This window comes from Homo sapiens, chromosome X, assembly GCF_000001405.40.
Source record: "Homo sapiens chromosome X, GRCh38.p14 Primary Assembly".
In the NCBI taxonomy this organism is placed as follows: Eukaryota; Metazoa; Chordata; class Mammalia; order Primates; family Hominidae; genus Homo; species Homo sapiens.
The window spans coordinates 16,855,168-16,882,871 of record NC_000023.11 but is presented as its reverse complement, the minus strand read 5'-3'; the positions used below and the strand labels follow the sequence as shown (position 1 = coordinate 16,882,871).

The window sequence follows — 27,704 nt, the reverse complement described above, 5'->3', positions numbered from 1 at the left end:
TACCACCCATGCAAGGCTGTTCTCACGCTTGCGCATTAGAAATGAAGAACCGTGGAGGCGGGGTGGGGCTTCCCGCGAAGCAGTCCCCGCCTGAGTTCTGCGGGTCCCCAAGCACCCTCGCCACAGGATGCACAAAACGTGAGGGACCTGGGCGGCCGCTGACTCTTCTGCCTGGGATTTCAGCCTCACCAGTAACACCCCTGGTGCTGGGGAGGGGCGGGGCGGGGGGACAGCTAAACCTCTTTGTACAGATTTTTTTCTGAAGACATTAATATATTAATATTTCCACACACACACAAAATCAGTAAACACAGAGAAATACAAAGAAAATAAAGATCACTCAAAATCCTGTCACCCAGATAAAATCACTAATACAGCTAAATATACGGTTGTACTACACATAATGGCATTTCCCCCTACACTGGTTTACTTAACTTTAAGAGATATTCAGTGAGCAATGCACGTGGCCAAACAGCAGCTGCCTCCTGAGGTCTGGCACAGCTTCCGGGTCCCTCCCCCACGCAGGACATGCACAGTACAAGAATTGGGTTGAACCTGGTGCAGTTCTTCAACTCAGAACAGCTACCCCTTCAAATGGGCACCTACGTGTGTACACTGTGTTCGGTGCATTGTCCCTGTCTGGGAGCAAGTGCCAAGTCACATCCCTTCTCCTGCAGCTGCAACTCGTCAATCAAGAGTTTCACAAAGAATGTTTTTGGAAACCAGGTACACGCTGACCCGCTAACGTTCCACATTTATCTGAGCCCACTACATTCTGGGGCACAGAGACACATCGTGTTGGCTCTTCTTTTTTAAAAAATTAGCTTTATTGAGATGTAATCACATACTATACAATTCACCCAATTAAAGCATACAAGTGACTAGCTTTTAGTACATTCACAGTCTAATTATAGAACATTTTCATACCTCCTAAAAGAAAGTGGACAAATTAGCAATCACTCCTCATTTTCCCCTAAACCTTCCAACGTTAGGTAATCACTAATCTATTTTGTGTACTTATGGGTTTGTCTATTCTGGCCATTTCATATAAATGGAACCATACGGCCGGGCGAGGTGGCTCACGCCTGTAATCCCAGTACTTTGGGAGGCCAAGGTGGGCGGATCACCTGAGGTCAGGAGTTCAAGACCATCCTGACCAACATGGTGAAACTCTACTAAAAATACAAAAAAAAAAAAAAAATTAGCTGGGCATGGTGGCACACGTCTGTAAAACCAGCTACATGGGAGGCTGAGGCAGGAGTATTGCTTAAACCTGGGAGGCGGAGGTTGCAGTGAGCCGAGATCGCGCCACTGCACTCCAGCCTGGGTGACAGAGCGAGACTCCATCTCATAAATAAATAAATAAATAAATAAAGGAACCATACAATATGTTTTTTTTGTGTGTCTGGCTTCTTTCATTTAGTATGATGTTTTCAAGGTTTATCCATGTTGTAGCATGTATCAGGACTTCATTTCTTTTTATTGCCAAGCAATATTTCATTGTATAGACACAATGCATTTTATTTACCCATTTGTCAGTTGGTGGAATCCCATTAATATATATGTGTATCCTTACACCAGTACCACACTGTCTTGATCACTGTAGCATGTAGTAAGTCTTGATCTAGGGAAGTGTGAGTCCTCCAGCTTTGTTCAAGATTGTTTTGGCTTTTCCAGATGCCTTGACTTTTCATATGAATTTGAGGATCAGCTTATCAATTTCTGCAAAGAATTTAACTGAGTTAGGGATTGCGTTAAATCTGTAGATCACTTATACTGTTTTATAACCTGCTTGTTTTTCAGTCAAATATATTGTGGACATCTTTCCATTTCAGTATTTACAGATTTCATCTTCTTTCTTATGTAATAATTTAACAAATATTTATTAAACAATTACAAGACACAAGGTAGTCTGGTTTCCTAGGTAGAAAGCTTCTTTTTTTCTGGGTGTACATGTACCAAAAAGATTACTTACAGCTTTGCAAAATGAGTTAAATATAGATATAGCCTTTTAGCTAGACTAGGGTTTCTTGGTCTCAGCATTATTGATATTTGGGGATTATTCTTTGTTGTGGGGGGCTGTCTTCTACATTGGAAGATGTTTAGCAGCATTCCTGGCCTCTACCCACTAGATGCCAGAAGCATCCCCCTCTCCCAGTTATGACAACCAAAAATGTGTCCAGACATTGGCAAATGTCCCCTGGGAGGCAAAATTACCCCTGGTTGAGAACCACTGAGCTAGACCTTACATAATCATTTATGATGATTCCATAGTACATCCCATGAATAATCTACAATTTATGCAACTAATACCCTATAATTCCATGTTCCTGTTACGCCCAATTTTTTACTATTTTTTATAAAACATTACTTTTAGAAAGTACAACATCAGCTCGTTGGGGTAAATAACTATATCATGTTAGATTTTTTTTTTTTACTATAAAAGTTCTATGTGAAAATTATTTTTCAAACAATCTTGAAGCTAAAATTAAAAGGATTTATCTCTCAATCCTACTCCCCAGAAATAGTGTATGGTATGTTAGTTTTAAATTTTTACATTTATTCAGAAGTGAAGTGGTAAAAACCTTCTTTTAGTGCATTTTTATCATTACATGTGATAATTTTGTCTATTCACTGCACATTTTATCTGGAGCTCTCCAAGCCACATTTTTCGAGCTGCTGGTCTTGGCCCATTCGTGGAATCAAATTAGAGGGTCATGAGCAGCACTTTTTAAAATGAAATAGAACAAAACAGATCATATCAGAGTATATTATACATAACAAAAATAAGTACTATTTTTTGAAAAAAATGTTTCAGTATCAGATAGATAGATGAGATAGACATATAGATGAAAAATGTATGCGTAACTATAGGTTGCAGCCAAGAAAAATGTAAAAGCCACTGCTGTAAGCAATCTAAATATACATATTTAACATTCCTTTCTATAATGGTAGTAAAGTGGTGGATGGGGCAAGTCTCTTCTTTCTTGACTAGAAAAGAATAATTAATATAACATAAGCAAAAATACTTAGTGTTAACAGTTACCCCCAGAAAAACAACACCTATTTAATGTAAATTTAAGTTACCCCCAGAAAAACAAAATACTATTTAATGTAAATTTAAGGTACATCAACTCAAATTACCCTGACTCCTTAGGAATTAAATGATAACATATGGGCTGGTGCAATGGCTCACGCCTGTAATCCCAGCACTTTGGGAAGCTGAGGCGGGCGGATCATGAGGTCAGGAGATCGAGACCATCCTGGCTAACACAGTGAAACTCTGTCTCTACTAACAATACAAAAAAATTAGCAGGGTGTGGTGGTACGCACCTGTAGTCTCAGCTACTCGGGAGGCTGAGGCAGGAGAATCGCCTGAACCCGGGAGGCGGAGGTTGCAGTGAGCTGAGAGCGTGCCACTGCACTCCAGCCTGGGCTACAGAGTGAGACTCAGTCTCAAAAAAAAAAAACCAGGTGTGGTGGCAGGCGCCTATAGTTCCAGCTACTTGGGAGGCTGAGGCAGGAGAATCACTTGAACCTGGGAAGCCTGGGCAACAGAATGAGACTCCGTCTCACAAAAAAAAAAACGATTCAATAGGAATCATCCACAGCACATTTATACATTTACAACTTAAATAACATTATGATATACATTATGATGGTTGCTGATTTTTTTAAATCTAGTTCTCTAATACCTCATTCTTCACTCAGTTTGACTCATTAAACATGACCAAACACTTATGACTGCCAGTAGGGAGAATGGGACATGGTGGCTTATATAAATGTTGTACCTCCCTTCAGCAAGGAGAAGTTAGAATGGCAGAGTTCATATGGCCATGATGCTCTTGAATGTCTTTTAATTTAATGCCAGGATGAAACAATAAAGTCCATGTGACCAATTTACACTACTATATAAATCTTTATGTTCATTTAAGACTAAATTACTGTGATATTTGGCTACATGGCATGGTTAACAAAGGATTTCACTAAAATCATAGGATAATTAAGATTTCCTGGCCGGGTGCAGTGGCTCACTCCTGTGATCCCCACATGGGAGGATCCCAGGTGGGAGGATGGCTTAAACCCAGGAGTTTGAGACCAGCCTGGAATATAGAGAGACCATGTCTTTACAGAACATGCAAAAATTAGCCAGACATGGTGGCATTTACCTATAGTCCAGAGAGAATTGCTTGTGTCCCAGAGGTCAAGTCTACAATGAGCTGTGGTCACATCATTGCATTCCAGCGTGGGTGACAGAGCGAGACTTTATATCAAAAAAAAAAAGAAAGAAAAGAAAAAAAAATAAAGGATTTCCCCAAAAAATTTGAATATTTACTCTAACTTGAAATGATCATATTTTCAAGGTCGCTGAAGCTAAATTATAGATGAATACACAAAATGACCTTCAAACTAAGGAACAGAAAACATTTGCTAGACCTGAGAAACACGTTTTCCCCCAAAGTTTTATTTAAAAGATCACCAAAAAGACTTGATAAAGAAAACTTTTGAATCCTCTGTGTGAGCCTATTCTTTGCCGGAACACCCACAGCCAAGTGATGCCAGCTTGGCTGATCTATCAATGCAATCATTGAAAGCCACATGGCAGAGAAAGGGAAAAATAATAAAGTGAACCCTTTTGGAAATGTAAGGGGATAAAAAAACAATTTATCTCTACTTATAAATACAGGATTTCATTCTGAGATCTAGTCCAACTCCTCACTTCAGAGATGAGGAAAATGAGTCTTAGAGAAGATAAGGCTTTTTAAATTAATAGGCTATTTTTGTGAGCAGTTTTAGGTTTATAGAATAATTGAGCTGAAAGTACAGTTCCCATTAATACAGTTTCCCATGTTAATTCACCCATGTTAATCTCTATTACTTTAATTTCACACGTTAATCTTGCATTAATATGGCACATTTGTTATAACTGATCTGCCAATATAGATGCATTATTATTAACCAAAGTCCATAGTTTACATTAGGGTTCAGTCTTTGTGTTGTACATTATATGGCTTTTGACAAAGATATAATGACATGTATCCACCATTACAGTACCATACAGAATAGTTCTACTGTCCTAAAAATCCCATCTATTCATCCCTCCCTCCCCGCTCCTGAATCTCTGGCAAGCACCGATCTTTTTACTGTTCCATAGATTTTAGCCATTTTAATATATGTGTAATGGTATCTTCTTGTTTTAATTTGCAATTCTGTAATGGCATATGATGTGGAGCATCTTTTCATATGCTTATTTGCCATCTGTAGATCTTCTTTGGTGAGGTGTCTGTTCAGATTGTCTGTTCAGGTGTCTGTTTTTAAATTGAGCTGTTTGTTTTCTTAAGGTTGTGTTTAAGAATTGCTTATATGTTTTGGATACCAATCGTTATCAGATAAATGTTTTGCAAATATTTTCTCTATGGCTTATCTTTTTGTACTCTTAAGAATGTCTTTTGCAGAGCAGTTTTAAGTTTTCATAGAGTTTAATTTATCAACTTTTCTTTTTGGTAGATCATACTTTGGGTGTTGTGTCTAAGCAGTGATCACCAATCCCAAAGTCATCTAGATTTTCTCTTATACTATCTTTTAGGAGTTTTGTAGTTTTGCATTTTACATTTAGGTCTCTGATCCATTTTGAGTTAATTTTTGTGAGAAGTGTAAGGCCTATATCTGGCTTCGATTTTTTTTTTCTTGTGGAAGTCCAGTTATTCCAGCACCATTTGTTAAAAGGATTATCCTTTGTCCATTAATTGCCTTTGCTCCTTTGTCAAAGAGAGGTAAGACTTTTTAGCAACACCTTGAGGTGTTATTTTCTTATCAGTTCTTTTTGCTGATAAACTGACTACAGCTCAGTGTTTAAGGGAATTGTCTCTGGAGTCAGACGATCTGTTTTTTTATCTAAACATTTTCAGCTGCAATCTGTGAGATCATGGGCAAGTTACTTAACCTCTCTCAGCCTCAGTATACTCAACTGTACAATGGGTTTGATGATAATAACATGATTAATAATAATTGTAAGGTTATCAGGAGACAGATTAGATAATATAGGTAAAATATCTGGCACATAGTATACCCCCAAAAAATGTTGAGTAAGGGCTGCTACTATTGGAGTATTCCAAATTTAACTTGCTTTCTGCCTTGGGGCTCACTATTGAAATATACCAGACAAAAATATATGCACATCTTTCTTCATTCTCTAAACACCCTTCTAATTTTTATAAAATTATGTACCATTTAAGTAGGTTTTTTTCCAAAATCACGTTCTCTGCAAACTCATCTGTGGTGGCAGCAGCCAGATCCGTAGTTGCTCAGTAGTCATTGATGGAGGAAGGGGCACAAGGAAACTTCTGGGTGTGATTGAAATGTTCTGTTTTTTTGTTTTTTTTTTAATTGTAGTTGTGGTTTCATGGGTGTTTACATCTGTCAAAATCCATTGAATTGTATACTTTATATGGGTGCAGTGTATTGTACATACATTATACCTCCATAAAGCTAAGACACACACAAGCAGGAAATGTAAATACTATCTGGATATTGACATCAAGGAATTACTGTTAGTTTTTTACATATGAGAATGTATTGTAGTTATTTTGAATTTTTTGAAAAGTCCTTATCTTTTAGAGATGCATAGAGAAATACTTGCAGATGAAATAGTGTGATGTGTAATATTTGCATCAAAATAATAAGAGATCGGAAGGGTGGATTGGGGAGAGAGATGAAACACATTTGACTATGAGCTGATAACTATTGCAGCTGGATGGTATGTACATAGATAGTTCATTCCACTATTCTGTTTTGTTTTGTGTGTTTAAAATTGTCTATAATTTTAAAGCTTTTTAAAGAACCACTCCACACATACAGGAACTGTTGCTTTTATTTCAGTTGATAAATGGAACAGTACTGAAAGCATCATTAAGGTTTTTTTATTTTTTTCTACACACCATTTATTTTTTATCTATTTTTTTTATTATACTTTAAGTTCTAGGGTATATGTGCACAACATGCAGGTTTGTTACGTATGTATACATGTGCCATGTTGGTTTGCTGCACCCATCAACTCGTCATTTACATTAGGTATTTCTCCTAACACTATCCCTCCCCCAGCCCACCACCCCCCAACAGGCCCTGGTGTATGATGTTCCCCTCCCTGAGTCCATGTGTTCTCATTGTTCGATTCCCACCTATGAGTGAGAACATGTGGTCTGCACGCCATTTATACTTTTTAATTACAATTTTTGAGATAATTGTAGATTCACACACAGTTGTAAGAAATAGTATAGAGAGATCCCCTGTACACTTTGCCCAGTTTCCCACAAAGGTAACATCTTGCAAAAGAATAGTATAAGATCTCAACCAGGATAGTCAATCCACTCATCTGATTTAGATTCCCCAAGTTTTACTTCTCCTTGTGTGTGTGTGTGTGTGTGTGTGTGTGTCCTCTCCAGCTACAAATGTCATGTTCCTTATTCAGGATAATCTGTGGTTAAATTCAGGACTTAGAGAGAGAAGGAGGTAGGTTTATGCAAATATCAGATTTCTTTGATGGTAGGCAACAAATGGACACAGGCTAACTTAAGGAAAAAGGAAATCTATAAAAGCTACGTAGGAGCTTTGCACAGTGGCAGTATCGTAGCCAATGAGGTTTATCCGAGGCGTGATTATTGCTAATTGAAAAGCTAAGTAAGAGCTCACAGAATCAAAGGAGCCAACTTGGAAAGGGTAGGAACCAGAGCCATTCCAGAGATCCAGGAAGCAGGAATCAACGGACTTGCACCTCCAGGTGTTTCACCAGCATGAATCTATAGAACTCATATTCCAAGAAGGGTGTTGCCCACTGGGGTCAGGCGCCCTACCTTTTAGCTGGTAGAGAGTGGGACATCCTGATGCACAGTCCTCCCAAACTGTAACTGATTAAGGAAGAGTAGTTCACTCAAAAGAAATCTAGCATGCTGTTTCCTGGAGAAGGAAAAATGGATGGTGGCCAGAAATTACAACAAACGTACACTTTAATAAATTTCAGAAGAGGTCTTCAGTGGTAAATAAGAATGCATTGTATATGAAAACTTTGAATAAAAGAACATTGTGCTTGGAGTGAAACACTCAGGGCTATGTGTCTACAAGAAGATTCTACATTTAGGAGAAATAAGCTTTAGTGATCTATTCTACAGAATGGTGACTATAATAAATAGTAATGTGTTATACATTTCAAAATTGCTGAGTGTATATTTTAAGAGTTTTCACTACAAAAAATGTTAAGTACGAGAGGTGACGAATTTGTTAATCAGCTTGATTTAATCATCTCACAATGTAAATATAAATCAAAACATCACATTGTACCCCATAAATTTATACGATTGTGATGTCCATTAAAAATAAAATTAAAAAAAGAAGGTTTACATGCAAAGCTTTCTCATTGCTGCTTATGGATTGGGACAAGCCTAAGAAGAGTTTCTTGTTCATTATTTTTCGTTTGACAAATATTTATTTACCACGCCCCAGTGATTCTAAGTCTAAGCCTCAGTGATTCTGGTCTAGGTCATTTCCTTTATTCACTGTCCCCAATGCAGAGCTCAAGTGGCTTAGCCTCAATAGCTAGCAACAGGGTAGGTTGGTCTTTTAGAAATCCAGAGGGACACCCCACAAAGGTTACATATTAACACATTTGTAAGTATAAAACAGTTACTTCACTTTTCCTAATAAAATATCAGAATAGTCAATGCAAACAAAGTACGAGTTCAAAGAACAGTGTATTTTCTATTAAAAGAATTTTCCTTCAACTCCCTCTCACACAATTGCATTAAACAATATTTTAAAAGAAATTTCTTAGAATTTTATCACATTAAGACAACTCTTCATTTGTATTACTCCTCTGACATTTTTTTTTCTAAAATGCATGCGTTTTTTCTATTTATATGAGCACTATGCATCCAATGGAAAAAATTTTAAAATAGGGCAATATATGAAGAATAAAACAACAATATACTAGTATCAAGAGACAACAGCTATTAATATGTTAGCGTATTTTCTTCTGCTCCTAATAATGACTGGATGAAAACAATTTGGCCAGAAACAAAATTGGTATTCCTTATGCTCCTCTTTTGCTTGTATAATTTTCAGATCTTTCTGTAACAAGCTTTGTTTTTGTAATAAGAAAAACAAACAATAAAGGAGAGTATAAAAGAGCAGGGTCTCTGTATGCCTTGTTCATCCAGCTAGCTGCAGTTTCCAGAACACTGCTTGGCTCACAGTAGGTACTTCAAAAATTTTTTTGAATGGCTAAAACTTTTTTGCCCCCAACCTAGTGAACCACAGCTGCTAATGAACATGGAATCACTCTGCAGGTATGTCTGGGTACTATGTCTCTGATTCCTTTTAGTAAATAGTTTGTTCTATCCATAGGATCACTTTCGCTGTCTTAATATAAGACTGATTAAATTCAAATTCCAACTCCAACACTCACTAGCTATGTCACCTTGGCAAGAAACCTCACCACTTTGGCTCAGCTTCCTCATGTGGTGAGCACCGGTCCAGGTGCTGAGGGCACAACAAAACAAGAATCCTACCCTCTAATTTACATTCTAGTGTGCAAGAAAAAGCCTGTGGACAAACATCTGTCAGATGGCGATAAGCGATAAGCGCTGTGAAAAAACAGAAAATAGAGTAAAGGGGATAGGAGGTGATTACCTGTGGGGGTGGATGAGGGCGTGTTGCTATTTTATAAAGGGTAGTCGGCAACAGCTAAAGGTTTAAAAACTAGGCCCAGCACGGTGGCTCATGCCTGTAATCCCAGCACTTTGAGAGGCCAAGGTGGGCAGATCCTTGAACTCAAGAGTTCGAGACCAGCCTCGGCAACACGGTGTCTCTACTAAAAACAAAACAAAACAAAATCTGGGAATGGTGGCCTGTGTCTGTGGTCCCAGCTACTTGGGAGGCTGAGGTGTGAGGTTTGCCCGAGCCCAGGAGGTTGAGGCTGCAGTGAGCTGTGATCGTGCCACTGCACTCCAGCCTGGGTGACAGAATGAGAGCCTCTCTCAAAAAAAAAAAAAAAGAAAAGAAAAGAAAAAAAGAAAGAAATAGAAATTTAAAAATCATAGTGTAGTGTTTTTCAAACTTCAAGTTGTGACTAAGCGCAATCATGAAGTCCATTTAGAATTTGCATTTTCGAAAAAATGAAATAAAATTCATCCCTTCCTTGTGTGTGTGCACCTGTTTGTGCCTTACTCTATTAGCTGAGCACAGGAGAGACAAAAAGAACAACCCCAGAAAAGTGCCAGAAAAGATTAGGACCAGAGCTAAGAGGCTGGGGAGAAAGGCAAAACAAACCCAACAGTTAAGCAATCCAAGAGAGAAAACATATCACTTTTTTTAATGCAAAAAAAGTAGTATGGAAAAAAGGCCAAAAAATTAAATAGAATTGACAGATTCAATTTAACAACAACAAAAATGCAAAACTAATGAAATATGCTGTACATGACACTTTCGGATTAAATGCATGATAGTGTGTGAATATTCTCAGAAATTCCCAAAATATTTGTTCCATATTTCCTTCTCTGACCCTCACTGAGGTAAACAGTATCAAGATTTTAAAGCCAAGTCGTCTGGGAAGATTTCTTTTCTTTCAGTCCTTTAAACATTTCTTTTAATAGGTTTTGGAAATCATGTCTACTTGTCAGAAATGAGTACACTGTATTAAAGGGATACAAATCATCTCCCAAGCCGCCTCTTGCTTTGCACACGAGGTTCTCTTTGAAGCAGAGCCATAAGGTACAATTATTCTAGAACAAGGTGGGCAAACTACAGTCCTCCGACTAAATCTAACCCACCACATGTTTTTGTATGACCCTCGAGCTGAGAATGGTTTTTCCGTTTTCAAGTGATAGAAAAAAAAAATCAAAAGATTTTGTGACCCGTGAAAACGATTTTAGTGTCTGTAGTTTTATCGGAACGCAGCCAAATGCATCCATATTTTCCATGGCTGCTTTGCGCTGCAAAGCGACAGAGTCGAGCAGTTGCCCCCAAAGCCTAAAATATTTACTATCTCGGTCCTTTTAGAAAAAGTCTTGCCAACTAATGTCCTAGAATATGAGGGCTGTATTGCTTAAACACCCTTCCAACTCTCTTCCCTCTCTAGCCACCCCCTCAGCCTTAGGCACTAACAAGATTCCTTGACCCAGAATGGGGGGAGGGCGTTATAATAATGAACGGTATTGTATCGGAAACAACACAGTAAATATCTACAGAAGGGAATGTGACTGGTTCTGCCACTGACTAACGTCTGGGTTTGCGTCCCGGTCAGAAAAGTGGGCATGACAGCGGCATCTGCAAGATAGCATCTGAGCATGAAGGCACTTGGAAAGGTATCAAGGCAGCAAATGTTCCGGGGGTGCTTTTGCAAGAGGAGCCTCTCCCGGAGCTGGACGTACACTTCGGTTCCCTTTGCACGCAGGCACCTTGGTCGCCTCCCCCAACTCCGTCCCCTCTGCTCCTGGCCCTCATTTTCTTCTATTTCCCTTTTGGCCTTGCAGCCAGCTTTCTCCTCCCCCGACACACTCCTCAGGGGCTATGAAGTTCCTGAGCAGAGCAGGGCTCAGGTAAGCAGGCCCAGGGTAGTTCAGCCCTGCTCTCTCCAGCTCCGCCAGCTTGGGGTGGGGTCGCGCTGGGACCCCTGCAGGTGACAAAAATGACTCAGCAGGGGCCGGGGCTGGGATGAGAAAGGAACGCCAGTGCAGGGACAAAATCCCCTGAAGCGCGAAGAGGCCGCAAACCATCATCTTAAGGACCCAAACATCGAACAAATTAAAATGTAACAGTGTAAATCGGCTTCGGCCCGCCGGCGGCCTGTGCCGCCACAGGCTGCACATTTAGCCTAACAGGGCGGCCCGGCGGCTTTTGCAGGCAGAAAACGCCCGCGGCCTCTCCAAAAGCTCTCCTCCGTCTGAGACCAGCCCCACCTCGGCCCGACCGGGCCCCAGGAAAGGCCAGTCGGCTGGAGGAGAACATTTCAGGGGTGCAGAGAATTGCATGTCCGTGATTATCAGGGAGACTTTGAAGGCACAGTAATCTCTCGAGAACAGGAACCATTTTCCCCTCTTGCTCTGAGATTTTGCTTGGCTAAGCGGCGGCAGCCTCCCTGCCCCCCTCTCACCCCCACCACCGCTGCCGCTACAAGCAACCACGCCCCGCGGGCCCCAAGGCTCGCCGCCCCGGGGCTCGCGGCCCCCACTCAGCCGGCCAGCCGCGCCTCCATCAGCCCCGCCCTCGCGCGCCCCCATCCGCCCCGCCCCCTCGGGCCCTCATCCGCCCCGCCCCCGCGCGCCCCATCCGCCTCCGCGGCCGGCCCTGGGAGCGCCGGGCGAGCCCTCGCGCCTGCGCATCGCCAACTTCCTGCCGCGGCACGCTCCGCCCACCCCCAGAAGCCCGCCTCCGAACGCCGCGTGAAACCCGCCCGCCGCGCGTCATTGGTCTCGGCGCCGGAGCCGTTGGCTCCCAGACCCGCCTCTCCGCCTCCTCTCACTTTTCCCAGGGCGGATGCGCCTGCGCTCAGCTGCCTGGGCGGGCTGGGAGGCGCGGGTTGAAAAGTCTCGTTCCAAGTTTGGAGAGAGAGAGAAGAGCGCCTCAGACCTCGGTACCCGCGAGCGGGGAGGAGGCAGGAAAGAAGGACGCGGCGTCTGGGGAGCACCCAGGCAGCAAGACGGGGCCCGGGCTTTCGACAGTGGGGAGTGTGACGCGCTTGGGAAAGGCAGGAGCGCCAGCGGTCGGGCTGCTCTTGGCTAACGAGAGGAGTCCGAGGCGGCGGCGAGGGGCGAACGACCCGACGCAAGATGGCGAGTAAAGAGAGTAAGAGGCCCTGCGGGGCGGCGCGCGCCGGGGCCGCGGGGGGCGGCGGGCGCGCGAGGCCGCGGCACGCGCCGGCGAAAGGCGCGAATTGGCGTGCGGAGCAGGGGGCGGGGCCGGGCGCGAGACTGGGCGCGCGCCTCGAGGGGCCTGCGCGGGACGGGACCGCCGCGCCGAGGGCTCCGAGCACTTCCGGAGCCGGGCGCGGGGCCGAGGGCTGGGCCCCCCTCTTCCCTTCCCTCCTCCAGCGGCTGCGCTCCCTCCGGCGCCCTCGGCCCCGGGGCGGAGGCGGCCCCCGCCGCTGGGAAGCGAGCGCCGCGGCTCTTTCTACGCGCGCGCGCGCGTTGACCGCCTCGGGGTCGCGGCCCTTGTCCGGGGGTTGCTGGGGTCCTCAGGCCTATGGCTGCCGAGGCGGGCGTCGTGGGAGCTGGGGCCTCCCCTGATGGGGATTGGAGAGACCAGGCCTGTGGGCTTCTGCTACACGTGCATTTGTCTTCCCGACTGGGTCGCGCAGCCCCTGTACGTACAGGTCGTCATCTTAGAACAGGTGCGAACAGCTGTAACAGGGTAAACAATTTCCATGTCCGTGTAATTGACTACCCAACATGGTGTACGCAGGGGGTATTGATCTCAATGGAAAAAATAGGCTTCCTGATTGTTAGTATTTTCTCCACCTTCTGGAAGAGCAGTTAGTTGTCCGTGTCCAAATTAGAGGTAAAAGGAAAGAGTACATGAGGTGTGGCCATCTTGAGGTGACCTCCAATTTCTGACTTTGATCTATCTCAGCCACTTAATCGTGTGGGCTTTCTCCAAATTTCAGTGTTTGAAGATACTGTGGAGGAGCGTGTCATCAATGAAGAATATAAAATCTGGAAGAAGAATACACCGTTTCTATATGACCTGGTTATGACCCATGCTCTTCAGTGGCCCAGTCTTACCGTTCAGTGGCTTCCTGAAGTGACTAAGTAAGGGTTTCTGGCAACTTTTATTTTGTTTAAATTTAACTGTCGTTCTGAATTTCCTAGTTTTGGCGTTTTATGCATAGAACATAAGTATGTAATCAGCCCTTGCATGAGGTGGCAGGTGGTTTTTATTTTCAAAACTTACGTGATTTGTGGGATGATTTCTGGTGTATAGTGTGGTGGTAAAAGGGGAGAAAGAAGCTGTTGTGAGATTAATCGTGTTTGGAGGAAGCACTGAATATATTTGACATTTCCTGGGCTTGAATGTAGAGCAGCATCTTTCTGGGCCCAAACTAATGCGTTTCTTTAAAACTTTACTGAAAAATAGAATATTTACGGAAAAGTTCACACATCTTAAGTGTTGTATGGCTTGATAAATTTTTACAAAGTGAACACACGTAACAGTCATCCAAGATAAATACATTTTAATTGGTAAAGGGAAAAAGACCTTGTCAACAATTGACCAAAGAAAAGATGTTATCGGCTTATGGAATACACTTTGAGATTGCTGTTAGTCTTCATAAGAGTATTCTTTTCTGTTACATCTGCAGTTTCTCTGGTAATAATTGCTGGCATTTATTGAGCACTCAGAACAGGGCCTGGCACATCTGAAGAATCTACGTCCTGTTGTTTGTTGTAATCCTCATAATAGTACTATGCTGTAGGTACTTTTCATCATCCTTGTTTTACTGATAAGGAAACTGGGAGTGAGAGTTTAAGTGCCATCCCAAGATCACACAGCTGGTCCCTGCATTAGACTGCCTTTCTCATTCACTTGCACCTTTTCTAGTAGGAACTTGACCATGTACTTTTAAAGTGTATTAAATATGGGGTCAGGCACAGTGGTTTATACTCCTGTAATCCTAGTGCTTTGGAAGGTTAGCTTGAGCTCAGGAGTTCAAGGCTGCAGTGAGCCATGATTGCGCCACTGCATTCTAGCTTAGCCAACAGAGTGAGACCGTGTCTCTCAAAGAAACAAAAAACAAGCATCTTAAATTTGGGTGTTGCGGACATATAATTTAAAGAGGATTAAATGAAACTCTAACCTAAAAAGAGGATTTTGCAACAAGTTATAAAAATAATAAGCTAATTTTGGCTGGGTGCGGTGGCTCACGCCTGTAATCGTAGCACTTCGGGAGGCCGAGGCAGGCGGATTGCCTGAGCTCAGGAGTTCAAAACCAGCCCAGGCAACAAGGTGAAATCCCATCTCTACTAAAATACCAAAAAAAAAAAAAAACCGGGCGTGGCAGCGTGTACCTGTAGTCCTAGCTACAGGCTACAGGGAGGCAGAGGCAGGAGAATTGCTTGAACCTGGGAGGCGGAGGTTGCAGTGAGCCAACATCGCACCACTGCACTCCAGCCTGGGCGAGAGCGAGACTCCATCTCTTAAAAATAAAAATAATTATTATAATAATAATCTAATGTATATAAAACTGCTCTTACAGTGGCCGGGTTCTCCATATGCAAACATTGATTTCTATACAGATAGGAATTTCCACTAGGCTTCCCAAAAATCTAAATATAAATGTACAGATGTGGGAAGAGTAGAGAAGAACTAAATGATGGAGACTTGGAAGCATTGACGTTTACAGCCACAACAGATTGAAAAATAGATTAAGCATCATATACTCGGGTATTCAAGTTCTGGTTTGGAGCATCGTGTGCATTTGCCTCTTTGGTCTGTTAAGCAGATTTAAAATGTATTAACTAAATTTACCTTTTGGGGGATCTTTTTGACCCACTGTAACATAATAGAAAACAGCAGGGGCTTTAAACTTAGAGACCTGGGTTAAAATCATGCCCCTACTTCTTAGCTTCATGAACTGGGGCCGTGTTGTCTGGGCTGTAAATGGAGATGTTGGTCATACTGACTACCTACATTTGAGGGAATGAAATAAGATCATGCATGTTAAAGTGCCTGGTGCAGCATAAGTACACGGTAAGTGGTGACTGATGCTGATTCTCCCACCCCTTCCTGTTCAGAAATAATTTGTCAGGATTGAAATAGCTCTGTTTCTTCATTTGGATTTCAATGAAAGCTACTTGCTGAAGTTTTTTTTAAAAAAATGTTACCTATAATATGTAATACTTAGGAATGTAACAAAATGCTTTAATTAAATTATTTAATGTGTATCATGGTGTTCTTTGTATACAAAGCTGTTGTGGGATTGGGTTGTGGGATGTGCAGTGGCTTAGAGAATGTAAGAAAATGCCAAGCAGCCTGCATTCTTGGATGTTGAGGATTGTTGTGTGGTGCTTTGCAGGGTTCAGTTTGGGGTATAAAGGGACTGTGTTTTATCACCATACAGAACAGTAAAAATGTTGACTATTCTCAATGCCTGACTCTGAGGAACAAGATCCTACTCCACCTCATAGGCCTTTCTTCTGCTGACTTACAACATGCTTCATAACGATTACTTGGACTTTCTTAGCTATTGTCCTTCAATTGAGTTAGGTAATTGTCCAAATAATTGATTTGGCTGGCTGGCTTGCTTTCTTGCTTTCTTGCTTTCTTTCTTTCTTTTTTTTTTTTTTTTTTTTTTTTTTTTTTTTTTGAGACAGTCTCGCTCTGTCTCCCAGGCTGGAGTGCAGTGGCACCATCTTGGCTCACTGCAGCCTCCACCTCCCGGGTTCAAGCGATTCTCCTGCCTCAGCCTCCTGAGTAGCTGGGATTACAGGTTTGTGCCACCACACCCAGCTAATTGTTGTATTTTTGGTAAAGACAGGGTTTCACTATGTTGGTCAGGCTGGTCTCAAACTCCTGACCTCGTGATCCGCCCGCCTCGGCCTCCCAGAGTGCTGGGATTACAGGTGTTGATTTGGCTTTTAAAAGGTTTTATTTAAGTATCTCTAAGAAATTTGTTTTAATTAGATAGTTATTTCATATCTCTTGTTGAATAATGTCTTAAATATATTGAGACTAACTTATTGTCTACCTAAAAAGCTTTGTAATTTTTCAAATTCAGGAAGTATAAAAGGACATAGAGTGAAGAATAAGTCCCCTTTCCACATCCCTTACTGTCCTACTTCCTTTCCCCAGTCATTGTTTTCAATTTCCTAACCCATCCTTGCCAGCGTGTAGAAGTGCATACCTGTATCTTCATTTTTTATGGTAGCAAGTTCTTCACTTGAGTTTGTCAGTAAGAGTATGTATTGGAGATTTTCCTGTCAGCATGCTTGGATATGCTTGTTCTTTTCAAGAGTGCCATAGAATTTTGTTTATGGATACACTGTGTAATGTATGATACCAGTTCCTTGCTGATGGATACTTAGTTATTTTCAGTCTTTTTCCTTCTATAAACAATACTGCTGAGAATAATCTTGCAATAGGCCAGATTTATGTGATGCTTGGCTAAATTTCCTAGTGGTAGTTACTGGGGTCAAAGGATTCTGCACTGAAAATGAATAGGCTTTCTTAACCATTAGTCCTTCTGCAGCCTTTAGGTACATCCAGTATTGGAGGAAAATAGTGTCATATTGATTAGTTTAGGAAAACAGGCTGTGTTTTAATGATGGAGGTGAAGGGATTTCTAGTAAAAAGAAAAGTCCTCATATGATGATCAAGTTGGGGAAAACTGGAATAATTAAATTTGAGTCCAGAGGGATTTTTAAGCTCCTCCAGTCCGTCTTGGGACAGTGTTCCTTAGAAAGGGCCTGTGATAAACTGACCTACCTGTTATTTTTTACTTGTTGGTCTTAGTTTTCCTGCTCAACTCCACAAAAAACAAGTGACTTTTTTCCTTTGATGACAGTACCAGCATTGCTCTGTGGTGCCTTCTTTCTCTCAAGCATTATTATTTCTCTTTTTAAATATTTATTTAAATTTTTGTTTTTTGTTTTTGTGTTTTTTGTTTTTTGTGGAGATGGGATTTTGCCACGTTGCCCAGGCTGGTCTCGAAGTCCTGGGTTCAAGCAATCCGCTTGCCTTGGCTTCCCAAAGTGCTGGGATTAGAGGCGTGAGCCACCACATCCGGCCAAATATTTATTCTTTTTTTTTTTTTTTTTTTTTTTTTTTGAGACAGGGTCTTGCTATGTTGCCCAGGCTGGACATGAACTCCTAGGCTCAAGCAGTCTTCCGTAGTAGCCCTAGTAGCTGGTACTACGGGTGCACAGCACTGCACCTGGCTTACCCTTTCATTTTAAGCCACTATTCCCTGTAAAGGTTTGATTTTTATCCAAGTCCTCATAAAGTATGTTGCTTAGAGCCTAATTTTAATGGTTTTACTGGTTAAAAATAAGTGGGCAAGCCAGATATGGTGGCACACATCTGTAGTCCCAGCTGCTGAAGAGGTTGATGTAGGAGGATCAACTTGAGTCCAGGAGTTGGAGGCCAGCCTGGGCAACATAGTGAGACCTTGTCTCTTAAAAAAAGAAAAGGTCGGGGGTGGGGGGCACATGTGCTCATGTGCATTGCCCCCTACATACATATAAAGACCACCTAAGATGGAATTAATTAATTTTTTGATAGCCACATCATATTCTTGGCCCACTGTGCATGTATCAACCAAGACCCATGTTTTCTTTCTTTTTCTTTTTTTTTTTTTTTTTTTTTGGAGACGGAGTTTCACTCGTTGCCCAGGCTGGAGTGCAATGGTGTGATCTTGAGATCTTGACTCACCACAACCTCCACCTCCCAGGTTCAAGTGATTCTCCTGCCTCCGCCTCCTGAGTAGCTGGGATTACAGGCATGCGCCACCATGCCCGGCTAATTTTGTATTTTTAATAGAGATGGGGTTTCTCCACGTTGGCTAGGCTGGTCTCGAACTCCTGACCTCAGGTGATCCGCCTGCCTTGGCCTCCTAAAGTGCTGGGATTACAGGCGTGAGCCACGGCGCCCATTTGTCTTTTTTTCAAACACGTTGCTATTGCTTAGTCACGGCTGCCTTACTCTGTTTTGGGGGGAGTGTGTCTGTGTGTGTGTGTGTCTCTTCTCCATGTGCACACACTTTTTTACCGTAAGCCAAATTTTGGTAAAATTGCATCTTGTATTTTCTTATTACTAAATTACTTGCCTAGAAGTAATCTTCAATCTTTTTAGAAAAAAAAAAAAAATTGAATCCTTTGTGCAGCTGAAATTTAGAAACAGATAAATGGCCTAACTTGTCTTGTGTTAGGGCCTAGACCCCTACTTCTCAGTCCTCTTCATTGAAGTGGGACCATGGAGCACAGTTGAAAATTGTATTCTAGATAATACAAATGGGAAAGCCTTTTTAATAGATACTGATGCAAAAATCACTGCTCGGACCAAGGTGCCAAGAGGTTTGGGCAAGTTCTTCAGCCTCAAGGTGTTTCCACAGAACAAGGTAACAAAGATACCTCGGTAAAATTGAGAATGTTCGTTTCATAAACTTAGGTATCATAAACGTCAGTGAGTTTCACATCATGCCATTTGCACTTATAGCCTATTTTATTCAGTGAAGAAACTGAGGCCCCAGGGAGGTTGTGTTTTAAGCAACTGCATTTTAGTTTGATCCAGGATTTAAGCTAAGTTTTTTTGATTCAACACTTTCTGTCCATACTACCTTGTAGAATTTCTTATTGGGAAATAAGAAACATCTAGTGTATAAGATATTTTTAGGTGGGAAGAAGATTTCTTTAGGTGGGAAGTTGTGATTTATGAGTGTGGGGATTGTTGGTGGATTCCTGTGTAGATGTTTGTCTGTGTTTACTGAGTTGGGCCTACCTTCCCCGGAGTGCTGCTCTATAAAAGGTAGTGTTCACGCTGATAATTGAGGCACAGGAGGATGGCTCTTTGGGAAAGAAGCAAGCCCTCTGCATGTTGTAGCTAGAATATTTTCTTATATTTGCATATGTGGGGATTGTAAAGTTGGTAACCAGAGGGGGAGAAGATACACAGTTGATGCTAAGTATATATTTGCTAAAGAAATATGAATGTATTTTGAGGGAACTAGACTGAATTTGTTAGCAATTGGAGATTTCTTGTAGGATTAGTGTGACTTATTTTCTTTCTTAAACAGACCTGAAGGAAAAGATTATGCCCTTCATTGGCTAGTGCTGGGGACTCATACGTCTGATGAGCAGAATCATCTGGTGGTTGCTCGAGTACATATTCCCAATGATGATGCACAGTTTGATGCTTCCCATTGTGACAGTGACAAGGGTGGTAGGTATATCATATATTCCAATATTGGTGTCAAAGGGAAAATGTCTCTTTCAAAGCATATGCTATTAAAACTATACTATTAGCTTTTGGCCCAGTAATTTAACTTCTAGGACTTTATTCTACAGAACTTCCCACCCACATGTGCACAAGGATTTTAGTCGTAATTGCAGAATTGAAAAATTAGGATCAACCTTGTAACCCAGATGTTGGTTCATAGAAAGTTGGTTAAGCACATGGTATGTTTGAAATACTACTCAGCAATTAATAAGAAAGGCCAGGTGCCATGGCTCACGCCTATAATCCCAGCACTTTGGGAGGCCAAGGTGGGAGGATTGCTTGAACTCAGGAGTTCAAGCCCAGTCTGAAAAACACAGACCTCATTTCTACCAAAAATTTAAAAAAAAAATTTTTTTTTTTAATGAGAAAAATCTGTAGGCACTGGTATAGGAAGGTATCCAAGATAAATTAAGTGACTAACTGCTATGTGTAATTACAGTATTCCACTTTGGTAAAAGTAATATGTGTTGGTGTGTGCAATGGGTATTTTTTGTTTGAGGAGAGAGGCAGTAGTGGTAGGGTTAATTCAGGAATCTGTTGGCTGCTTTTTTCTTTTTTTAATTTGTCAAACATATACTCTCCTGTTTTGGTATTCCCATGACCACCCCAAGTTTGGTGATTTTGCTAGGACTCCCAAGAGCAAATTATACTTGTGGCTAAAGTTTGTTACAGTAAAGAACACAAAAGCAGCAGGAAAAAGATGTACATCGGCAAGTTCAGGGAGGTCTGGCACAAGTCTTGTCCAAGGCCACACAGGATGTGTCTTCCGGCAGCAAACTGCAGGGACATGTGTGAAATATCTCTGCTCAGGGAAGCCTGTTTGGGTCTTGGGGTCTGAGGCTTTCTTGGGGGACTAGTTGCATAGGCACATCCTGCTGACAACCAGCCACAGCAACTGTAACTTGAGGACCCCAGTAATACAAACTGAGGACCCAGTAATAAAAGAAGGTACGTGTCATCAATCTTGATATCTGCAGAGTAACCCTGACAAACTGGTACAACGCGGTCCATTGCTCCAGGTGCACACCACAAAATCATCAGTTCATCAGTGACAGAAAGAACATTCTGAGGTGCATGTTCCCAGGAGTTAGCCAAGGGTCAGTAATAGGGTCCCAGTGTTCCTCAGAGACTCCAGGGCTAAGCACCCAGACTGCTGTATTAACTCTTTCTTCACAGTCCCAAATGGCTTAACGCTATTAGCACTTTCTAATATGTGCCTTAGGGTTTTTTTCTTATTGAAAATAAAATACTGGCCAGGTGCAGTGGCTATACCCATAGTCCCAACACTTCGGGAGGCCAAGGCAGGAGGAACGCTTGAGCCTGGGAGTTTAAGACCACTCAGGGCACACAGTGAGACATTGTCTCTATCAAAAAATAAAATTAAAAATCAGCCATGTGTGGTGGCGCATGCCTGTAGTCCTAGCTACTTGGGAGGCTGAGGATCGCTTGAGCCCAGGAGTTCGAAGCTGTAGTGAACTAGGATCACACCACTGCACTCCACCCTGAGCAACAGAGCAAGATCCTGTCTCAAAAATACTACATTCTCTAGTGTAGTGAAACTGCTAGGTTGTATGGTGTATTCATTGTCAACTTCATAGAAAACTATTTTCCAAAGTGATTTACCCAGTTTACTACTCCCACAATTTACTGTTCATTCCCCGACAACTGTATGCATTATTTCTTTAAATATTGGGGTTTTTTTGTGTTTTGTTTTTGTTTGTTATGAGGCAGGGTCTCGCTCAGTCGCCCAGGCTGGAGTGCAGTGGTGCAATCTCGGCTCACTGCAACCTCCACCTCCTGGGTTCAAGTGATTCTCGTACCTCAGCCTCAAGAGTAGCTGGGATTACAGGCGTCCACCACCATGCCCGGCTAATTTTTGTATTTTTAGTAGAGACTGGGTTTTGTCATGTTGGCCAGGCAGGTCTCGAACTCCTGGCCTCAAGTGATTCGCCTGCCTAAACTTCCCAAAGTGCTGGAATTACAGGCATGAGCCACCACTCCCGGCCTGAATATATTGTAATCAGAAATTTTTAAATGGCTTTTAGCCCTGAAGTATGTATTTACCGGGCTTGCAGTTTAACAGTCTCTGCATAATGATGTTAATATATTATTAAAGTTACACATCCAGTGTATTCTAACAAGTAGCTGAAATAATTCAGTTAATACCTTTGTTAATATTCAGTATATATATTTTTTTTTTCTTTTTTTTTTTCTTTTTTTTTTCGAGACGAAGTTTCGCTCTGTCACCCAGGCTGGAGTGCAGTGGTGTGACCTCAGCTCACTGCAACCTCTGCCTCCTGGGTTCAAGCGATTTCCCGAGTAGCTGGGACTACAGGCGCCCGCCACCACACCTAGCTGATTTTTTGTATTTTTAGTAGAGACGGGGTTTCACCTTGTTAGCCAGGATGGTCTTGCTTTCCTGACCTCATGATCCGCACGCCTTGGCCTCCCAAAGTGCCGGGATTACAGGCATGAGCCACCACGCCCGGCCAATATTGAGTTACATTTTTTAATGGATATTATCATTAAGACAGTGACTTTTCAAAATTTTAAGTTTGAGAAAACAAAACTCTGTGTTCAAAGTAAATCCTACTTGGAAGCCCCGCCCCCCCCCCTTTTTTTTTTAAAGGAGAGCTCTTCAGGTTGTTTTAGCTAAAGGAATCAGGAAACTTGAGTATCTTTGTAGCAGAAGGGTTAGAGCCACTGGAGTCCATGGAATGGGATGTTGAAGGTCAAAGTGGAGCAGATTTGGAGCAGTCTCAGGAGGGAGGAGACGATTGGATCAGGAGGGGTCTTAGCATGCCGAGGCACATTTCTTCCATTGACACCATGGAACAGAAGGTGCTACGAGGAAAAAGGATCCTTTTGCATGTGGTCACATGAGAGTAGTGGGTAGAGGAGCTTTGGAGTAATCGTGGATTTGAGATACGGTTTTTTCAACCACACTGAAATAGTAAGCTATGTTTGCTTCAGAGAGGAACGGCTAGATACTGATATTAAGACATGGAAGCGAGTGTTCATTAAGCATTCCACATAGAAGGAGCTGCCTGGAACTGAGAAATGGTTTGCTCCTTTTGGTGGTTGCTCCAGGCCCCGGTCTATTTTACTTCTTACCTGTCTGGCTCCAGTAGGCATTTGTGTTAGTTGTCCCTGACCTGAGACACAGGGTGAGCTAAAATGGAATGTGCAAAGAAAAGGCAATATAGGTCAGGAAGAATAACACAATTGTAATGTGAACCCTCCTATCTTTTTAAGCGTCAGCAACTAATTCAGGTTTTTTTATCTATGAGCACAAAAAAGAATGTTCTTGTTTGCTGTATTTGCTTAGATGTTCTCTACTTGTATTCTTTCTGCTAACATGTTGCTACTTCTTGGAAGTTACCGTACTTTTTATATGACTTTGTTACTTTACAAGGCCTTTTTCATGATTATTTAATACTATAGTCTTATTCACACACCAGATGGGCGGAGAGGTTAACCTTGGCACTGCACTAGCAGTTAAACCAAGTATGCTGGCAGGGCCAATGTATGTGTGTTTAGGGACAGGTAGGGGTTAGCGTGGGTTTCTGATTGATTTGAGGATGCTTCTGACTTCAGACTCAAAGGGTGTTCATACTGTGGAGGGTTAAAACCTTTCCTGTTTTGATGAATCCTAAAATAAGATGCTAATTCAGTGCAGTACTTACAGTGAGTTGTATTTGAACTAAAAAGCTATTGGTCTGCTTATTATATGGTTACTTGAAATTTCAGTGAATAACTATATCATCTTCATAACTGAAAGAGGACAGTTGTTTTAGATCCAAGGTGGAACTGAATTAAGTTGCATAAGGCAGCTACCAATATTTTCCAGTGCAAATGGGCTTTAAGAATAAATTGATGTGGCAAATGAACCCACATTTTTGGGTTTTCTCTATGCATGTTTCTGTCTTTGTCTTGTCAGTTTGTGTTGTATTCTGCCAGGTCAAAATCTGTTAGGTTGATTGAACTAAGTGATTTGTGAATTTTAATCCTGAGTGTGTGTGTGTGTGTTTCTTTCTCCTCACATTAGAATTTGGTGGCTTTGGTTCTGTAACAGGAAAAATTGAATGTGAAATTAAAATCAATCACGAAGGAGAAGTAAACCGTGCTCGTTACATGCCGCAGAATCCTCACATCATTGCTACAAAAACACCATCTTCTGATGTGTTGGTTTTTGACTATACAAAACACCCTGCTAAACCAGGTATGTAATAATAGAGTTAGGTCATTACTTGAGCAGTTTTCTTGATTCAAACTGGTAATGTTTTTAAGGTCAAAGTAGCATACTTTATAATATTTAAAGGTTTAAAAATTGCTTTGGGGGTCCCATAACCATCCTCAAGTTCAGGGATTTGCCAGAACTACCTAAAAGCAGCTTATACTAACAGCTAAAGTTTATTACAGCAAAGAATCCAGAGCAAGAGTAGGAAGAAAAAGATACACATCAGGGGAAGTCCAGAGGGGTTAGCTACAGGCGTCTGAGTCCTTCCCATCCAGGGCCACGTGGGACATGTTTTGTCTCTAGCAGCAAACCATAGGAACATGTGCTAAATGTCTCTACCCAGGGCAGCCCATTTGAGTTTCAGAATCTGGGATTTTTGTGGAGGTCTGTTGGCGTGGGCACATCCTGTTCTATGACCAGCCATGGTAACAAAATTGAGGACCCCAATAGTGAAGCCAAATACATTGTGAATCTTGCTAAACAATCCTACAAGTCTTGACAGGTCCCTATGGCATACCCCACTGCTCTGGGCTTACAAAACTTTATCAGTCAGTGACGTGAAGAACTTTCTGAGGGTCACATTCCCAGGGGTTGGCCAAGGGTCATTTATGGTTGCAGGCTACCCTAGAGGCATGCAAGGACTGAGCAACCAGACCTGTTGTGTTAGAAATATTTCTAAAAAATTGGGGGGTTGCGGGGATACGGTCACCACTGCCCAAATTTGTAGGATAGCTATAGTTTTTAATATTTTTGTGTTGGGGATAGTATTAGGTTTTCCAAAGAAACCAATCATCTAATGGTCATGAGGCTCAATTTGCATTGGGTATTAAAGACCAGATCTCGTTCGTGTGCAGTTGCTGTAATGGTTCACTCAATGAAGGAGTGAGAATTTATTCTCACCAGTTCTGATAAACAGAGAATAACTTAATGTTTTTCATCTTTTCTTAGACCCAAGTGGAGAATGTAATCCTGATCTCAGATTAAGAGGTCACCAGAAGGAAGGCTATGGTCTCTCCTGGAATTCAAATTTGAGTGGACATCTCCTAAGTGCATCTGATGACCATGTGAGAAACGTATTCTTTGTAATTTGTTCATATAGTGAGAGCTGACGTGTCACAGCTGTGCTGAAGGAGTACTATATAGATGAAAGGTTTTCTAAGATAATACTGCTGATTATTGTGGTAACATTCCCCCAGGACTTTAGAGAGATGGTTTTCATACTGCCCTGTATGAGTCTTCGGATTCCACAGAGCTCTTTTGAAGTAGCCTTAGAATGGAGGGAGCATAGGCAAAAGGCCTCCCATTATTTAAAAGAGGACCCTCCAGGCCCTTAAAATGGAAACTGTAGAGTGTTTGTGGGACCTGATTAATATAAAGTATTTTTTAAGTGTACAGTTCAGTGGGTTTTAGTATATTCACAAAGGTGCACAACTATTGCCACTAATTCTAGAATGTTTTCATTCGCTCTCTGAAAGAGAAATTCCATACCCATTAAGCAGTGACTCCCCACTCATTCCCTGCCTTCCCCCAGCTCCTGGTAAGCACTAATTTATTTTCTGTCTCTATAGAGTTATCTGTTCTTGGTATTTCATGTAAATGGAATCTCATATATGGCCTTTTCTGTTTGGCTTCTTTCACTTAGCATAATGTTTTCAAGTAACATTACTTATGTTCCATTCCTTTTTATGGATGAACAATATTCCACTGTATGGATATACCACAGTTAGCTTATTTGTCAGTTGATGAACCATTTGAGTTCTTTCTACTTTGGGGCTATTTTGAATTATGTTACAAGCATTTGTTTACAAGTTTTTGTGTAGATGTATGTTTTTATTTCTCTTGGATATATACCTAGGAGTGGAATTATTGGATCATATGGTATCTCTGTTTAATTTTTTGAAGAATTACCAAACTGTTTTCCAAAGTGGCTTTCCATTTTACATTTCCACAAGCAATGTACAAATGTTCCAGTTTCTCTACATCCTCACTAATGCTTGTCTTTTTTATTATAGCTATCCTAGTGTGCATAAAGTGGTATTTCCTGGGTTTTTTTTTGTTTGTTTTTGGCTTGGGGGTGGGGAGTTGGTTTTTGTTGTTGTTGTTGTTGTTGTTGTTTTGTTTGTTTTTTGAGACGGAGTCTGTCTCTGTCACCCAGGCTGGAGTATAGTGGCACGATCTCAGCTCACTGCAACCTCCACCTCTCAGGTCCAAGCGATTCTCCTGCCTTAGCCTCCCAAGTAGCTGAGATTACAGCCATGCACCATGAAACCCAGCTAATTTTCGTACTTTTAGTAGAGACAGGGTTTCACCATGTTGGCCATGCTGGTCTTGAGCTCCTGGGCTCAAGCAATCCTCCTGCCTTGGCCTCCCAAAGTGCTGGGATTACAGGCATGAGTCACTACGCCCAGCTCATTGTGGTTTTAATTTGCATTTCCCTGATGACTAATGATGATGAGCATCTTTTCTTGTACTTACTGGCCATTTGCATATCTCCTTTAGAGAAATAGGTATTCAAATTCTTTGTCCATATTTTAATTTTGTCTTTTTATTGTCAAGTTATAAGAGTTTCTTATGTATTCTAGGTATAAGTCCCTATGATTTTCAAAAATTTTCTCCCATTCTGTTGTCTTTTCACTTTTTTTTTTTTTTTTTTTTTTTTTTTGAGACAAGGTCTTGCTCTGTCACCCAGGCTGAAGTGCAGTGGCTCAGTCTCGGCTCACTGCACCCTCCACCTTTCCAGCTCTAGTGGTTCTCTACCTCAGCCTGTCAAGTAGGTGGGACTACAGGCGCCCACCACCACACCCAGCAAATTTTTGTATTCTTTGTAGAGATGGAGTTTTGCCGTATTGCCCAAACTGGTCTTGAACTCCCGGGCTCAAGTGATCCACCTTCCTTGGCCTCCCAAAGAGCTGGGATTATAGGCTCTCTGAAAGGATGCTTCCCTCAAAGTGTGTATGAGACGGTTTCCCAAGTAGGGAAAGTGGATAAGTGGATTGTACTCAGTAACCCAATTACTAGTACCTTTTGAAGAGACCAGGCTGGGAATTGGTAGTAATAATAATAGCTGACATTTACCAGGGGCTACCCACATGCCAAGCATCATGCTAATCTTGCCAGGTCCTTCTGAGTCAGTGTGAATGGCAGGAGCACCACATGTTCCTTTCTCTTCAGTTCACACACATTGAGTGTCTTCATGTGTAAGTAACAACAGAGACTGAGGGCATATGTATTGTGTAAAAAAAAATTTTGTTACTGGGAAAATAGCCATTACTGGGAAATAGCTTTGTTACAGAAAGTCCTTCATGTGGCTGGGCACAGTGGCTCACGCCTGGAATCCCAGCACTTTGGGAGGCCAAGGTGGGTGGGTCACCTGAAGTCAGGAGTACAAGACCAGCCTGGCCAACGTGGTGAAACTCCGTCTCTACTAAAAATACAAAAAAATTAGCTGGGCTTGGTGGCATACACCTGTAATCCCATCTACTCGGGAGGC

The 27,704-nt window shown here is 41.9% G+C and overlaps 1 protein-coding gene and 1 pseudogene across 4 annotated transcripts in view, besides 7 other annotated features; both read left to right on the top strand.

The window, feature by feature from the left end:
- Positions 385 to 434: an enhancer, noted in NCBI's record as "active region_29457". NCBI's record gives its function as "activates an Ori minimal core promoter by ATAC-STARR-seq in GM12878 lymphoblastoid cells {active_cell/tissue: GM12878}" and the evidence as "EXISTENCE:reporter gene assay evidence [ECO:0000049][PMID:35858748]".
- RNU4-6P (RNA, U4 small nuclear 6, pseudogene) lies at positions 7,552 to 7,755 on the top strand (annotated as a pseudogene).
- Positions 11,816 to 12,494: an enhancer, noted in NCBI's record as "NANOG-H3K27ac hESC enhancer chrX:16888501-16889179 (GRCh37/hg19 assembly coordinates)". NCBI's record gives its function as "activates a minimal SCP1, AML or CMV promoter by ChIP-STARR-seq in naive H9 embryonic stem cells {active_cell/tissue: H9 hESC(naive)}" and the evidence as "EXISTENCE:reporter gene assay evidence [ECO:0000049][PMID:30033119]".
- Positions 11,816 to 12,543: a biological region, named in NCBI's record as "NANOG-H3K27ac hESC enhancer GRCh37_chrX:16888501-16889179".
- Positions 12,234 to 12,543: a silencer, noted in NCBI's record as "silent region_20683". NCBI's record gives its function as "represses an Ori minimal core promoter by ATAC-STARR-seq in GM12878 lymphoblastoid cells {active_cell/tissue: GM12878}" and the evidence as "EXISTENCE:reporter gene assay evidence [ECO:0000049][PMID:35858748]".
- Positions 12,510 to 27,704, top strand: part of RBBP7 (RB binding protein 7, chromatin remodeling factor) — a 26,022-nt gene continuing 10,827 nt past the window's right edge. For 2 of the 4 annotated variants that reach the window (NM_002893.4, XM_047442292.1), the window contains exons 1-5: positions 12,510 to 12,834; positions 13,652 to 13,796; positions 19,772 to 19,917; positions 24,023 to 24,196; positions 25,163 to 25,278. In NM_002893.4, coding sequence (NP_002884.1) covers positions 12,819 to 12,834; positions 13,652 to 13,796; positions 19,772 to 19,917; positions 24,023 to 24,196; positions 25,163 to 25,278 — 597 coding nt within the window. In that variant the 5' untranslated portion in view covers positions 12,510 to 12,818. Of the gene's footprint in view, positions 12,835 to 13,008; positions 13,379 to 13,651; positions 13,797 to 19,771; positions 19,918 to 24,022; positions 24,197 to 25,162; positions 25,279 to 27,704 lie in introns of those variants that run through there. The other 2 variants (NM_001198719.2, XM_047442291.1) reach the window with 1 other exon arrangement.
- Positions 12,874 to 12,923: a silencer, noted in NCBI's record as "silent region_20682". NCBI's record gives its function as "represses an Ori minimal core promoter by ATAC-STARR-seq in GM12878 lymphoblastoid cells {active_cell/tissue: GM12878}" and the evidence as "EXISTENCE:reporter gene assay evidence [ECO:0000049][PMID:35858748]".
- Positions 12,944 to 13,283: a silencer, noted in NCBI's record as "silent region_20681". NCBI's record gives its function as "represses an Ori minimal core promoter by ATAC-STARR-seq in GM12878 lymphoblastoid cells {active_cell/tissue: GM12878}" and the evidence as "EXISTENCE:reporter gene assay evidence [ECO:0000049][PMID:35858748]".
- Positions 13,504 to 13,593: an enhancer, noted in NCBI's record as "active region_29456". NCBI's record gives its function as "activates an Ori minimal core promoter by ATAC-STARR-seq in GM12878 lymphoblastoid cells {active_cell/tissue: GM12878}" and the evidence as "EXISTENCE:reporter gene assay evidence [ECO:0000049][PMID:35858748]".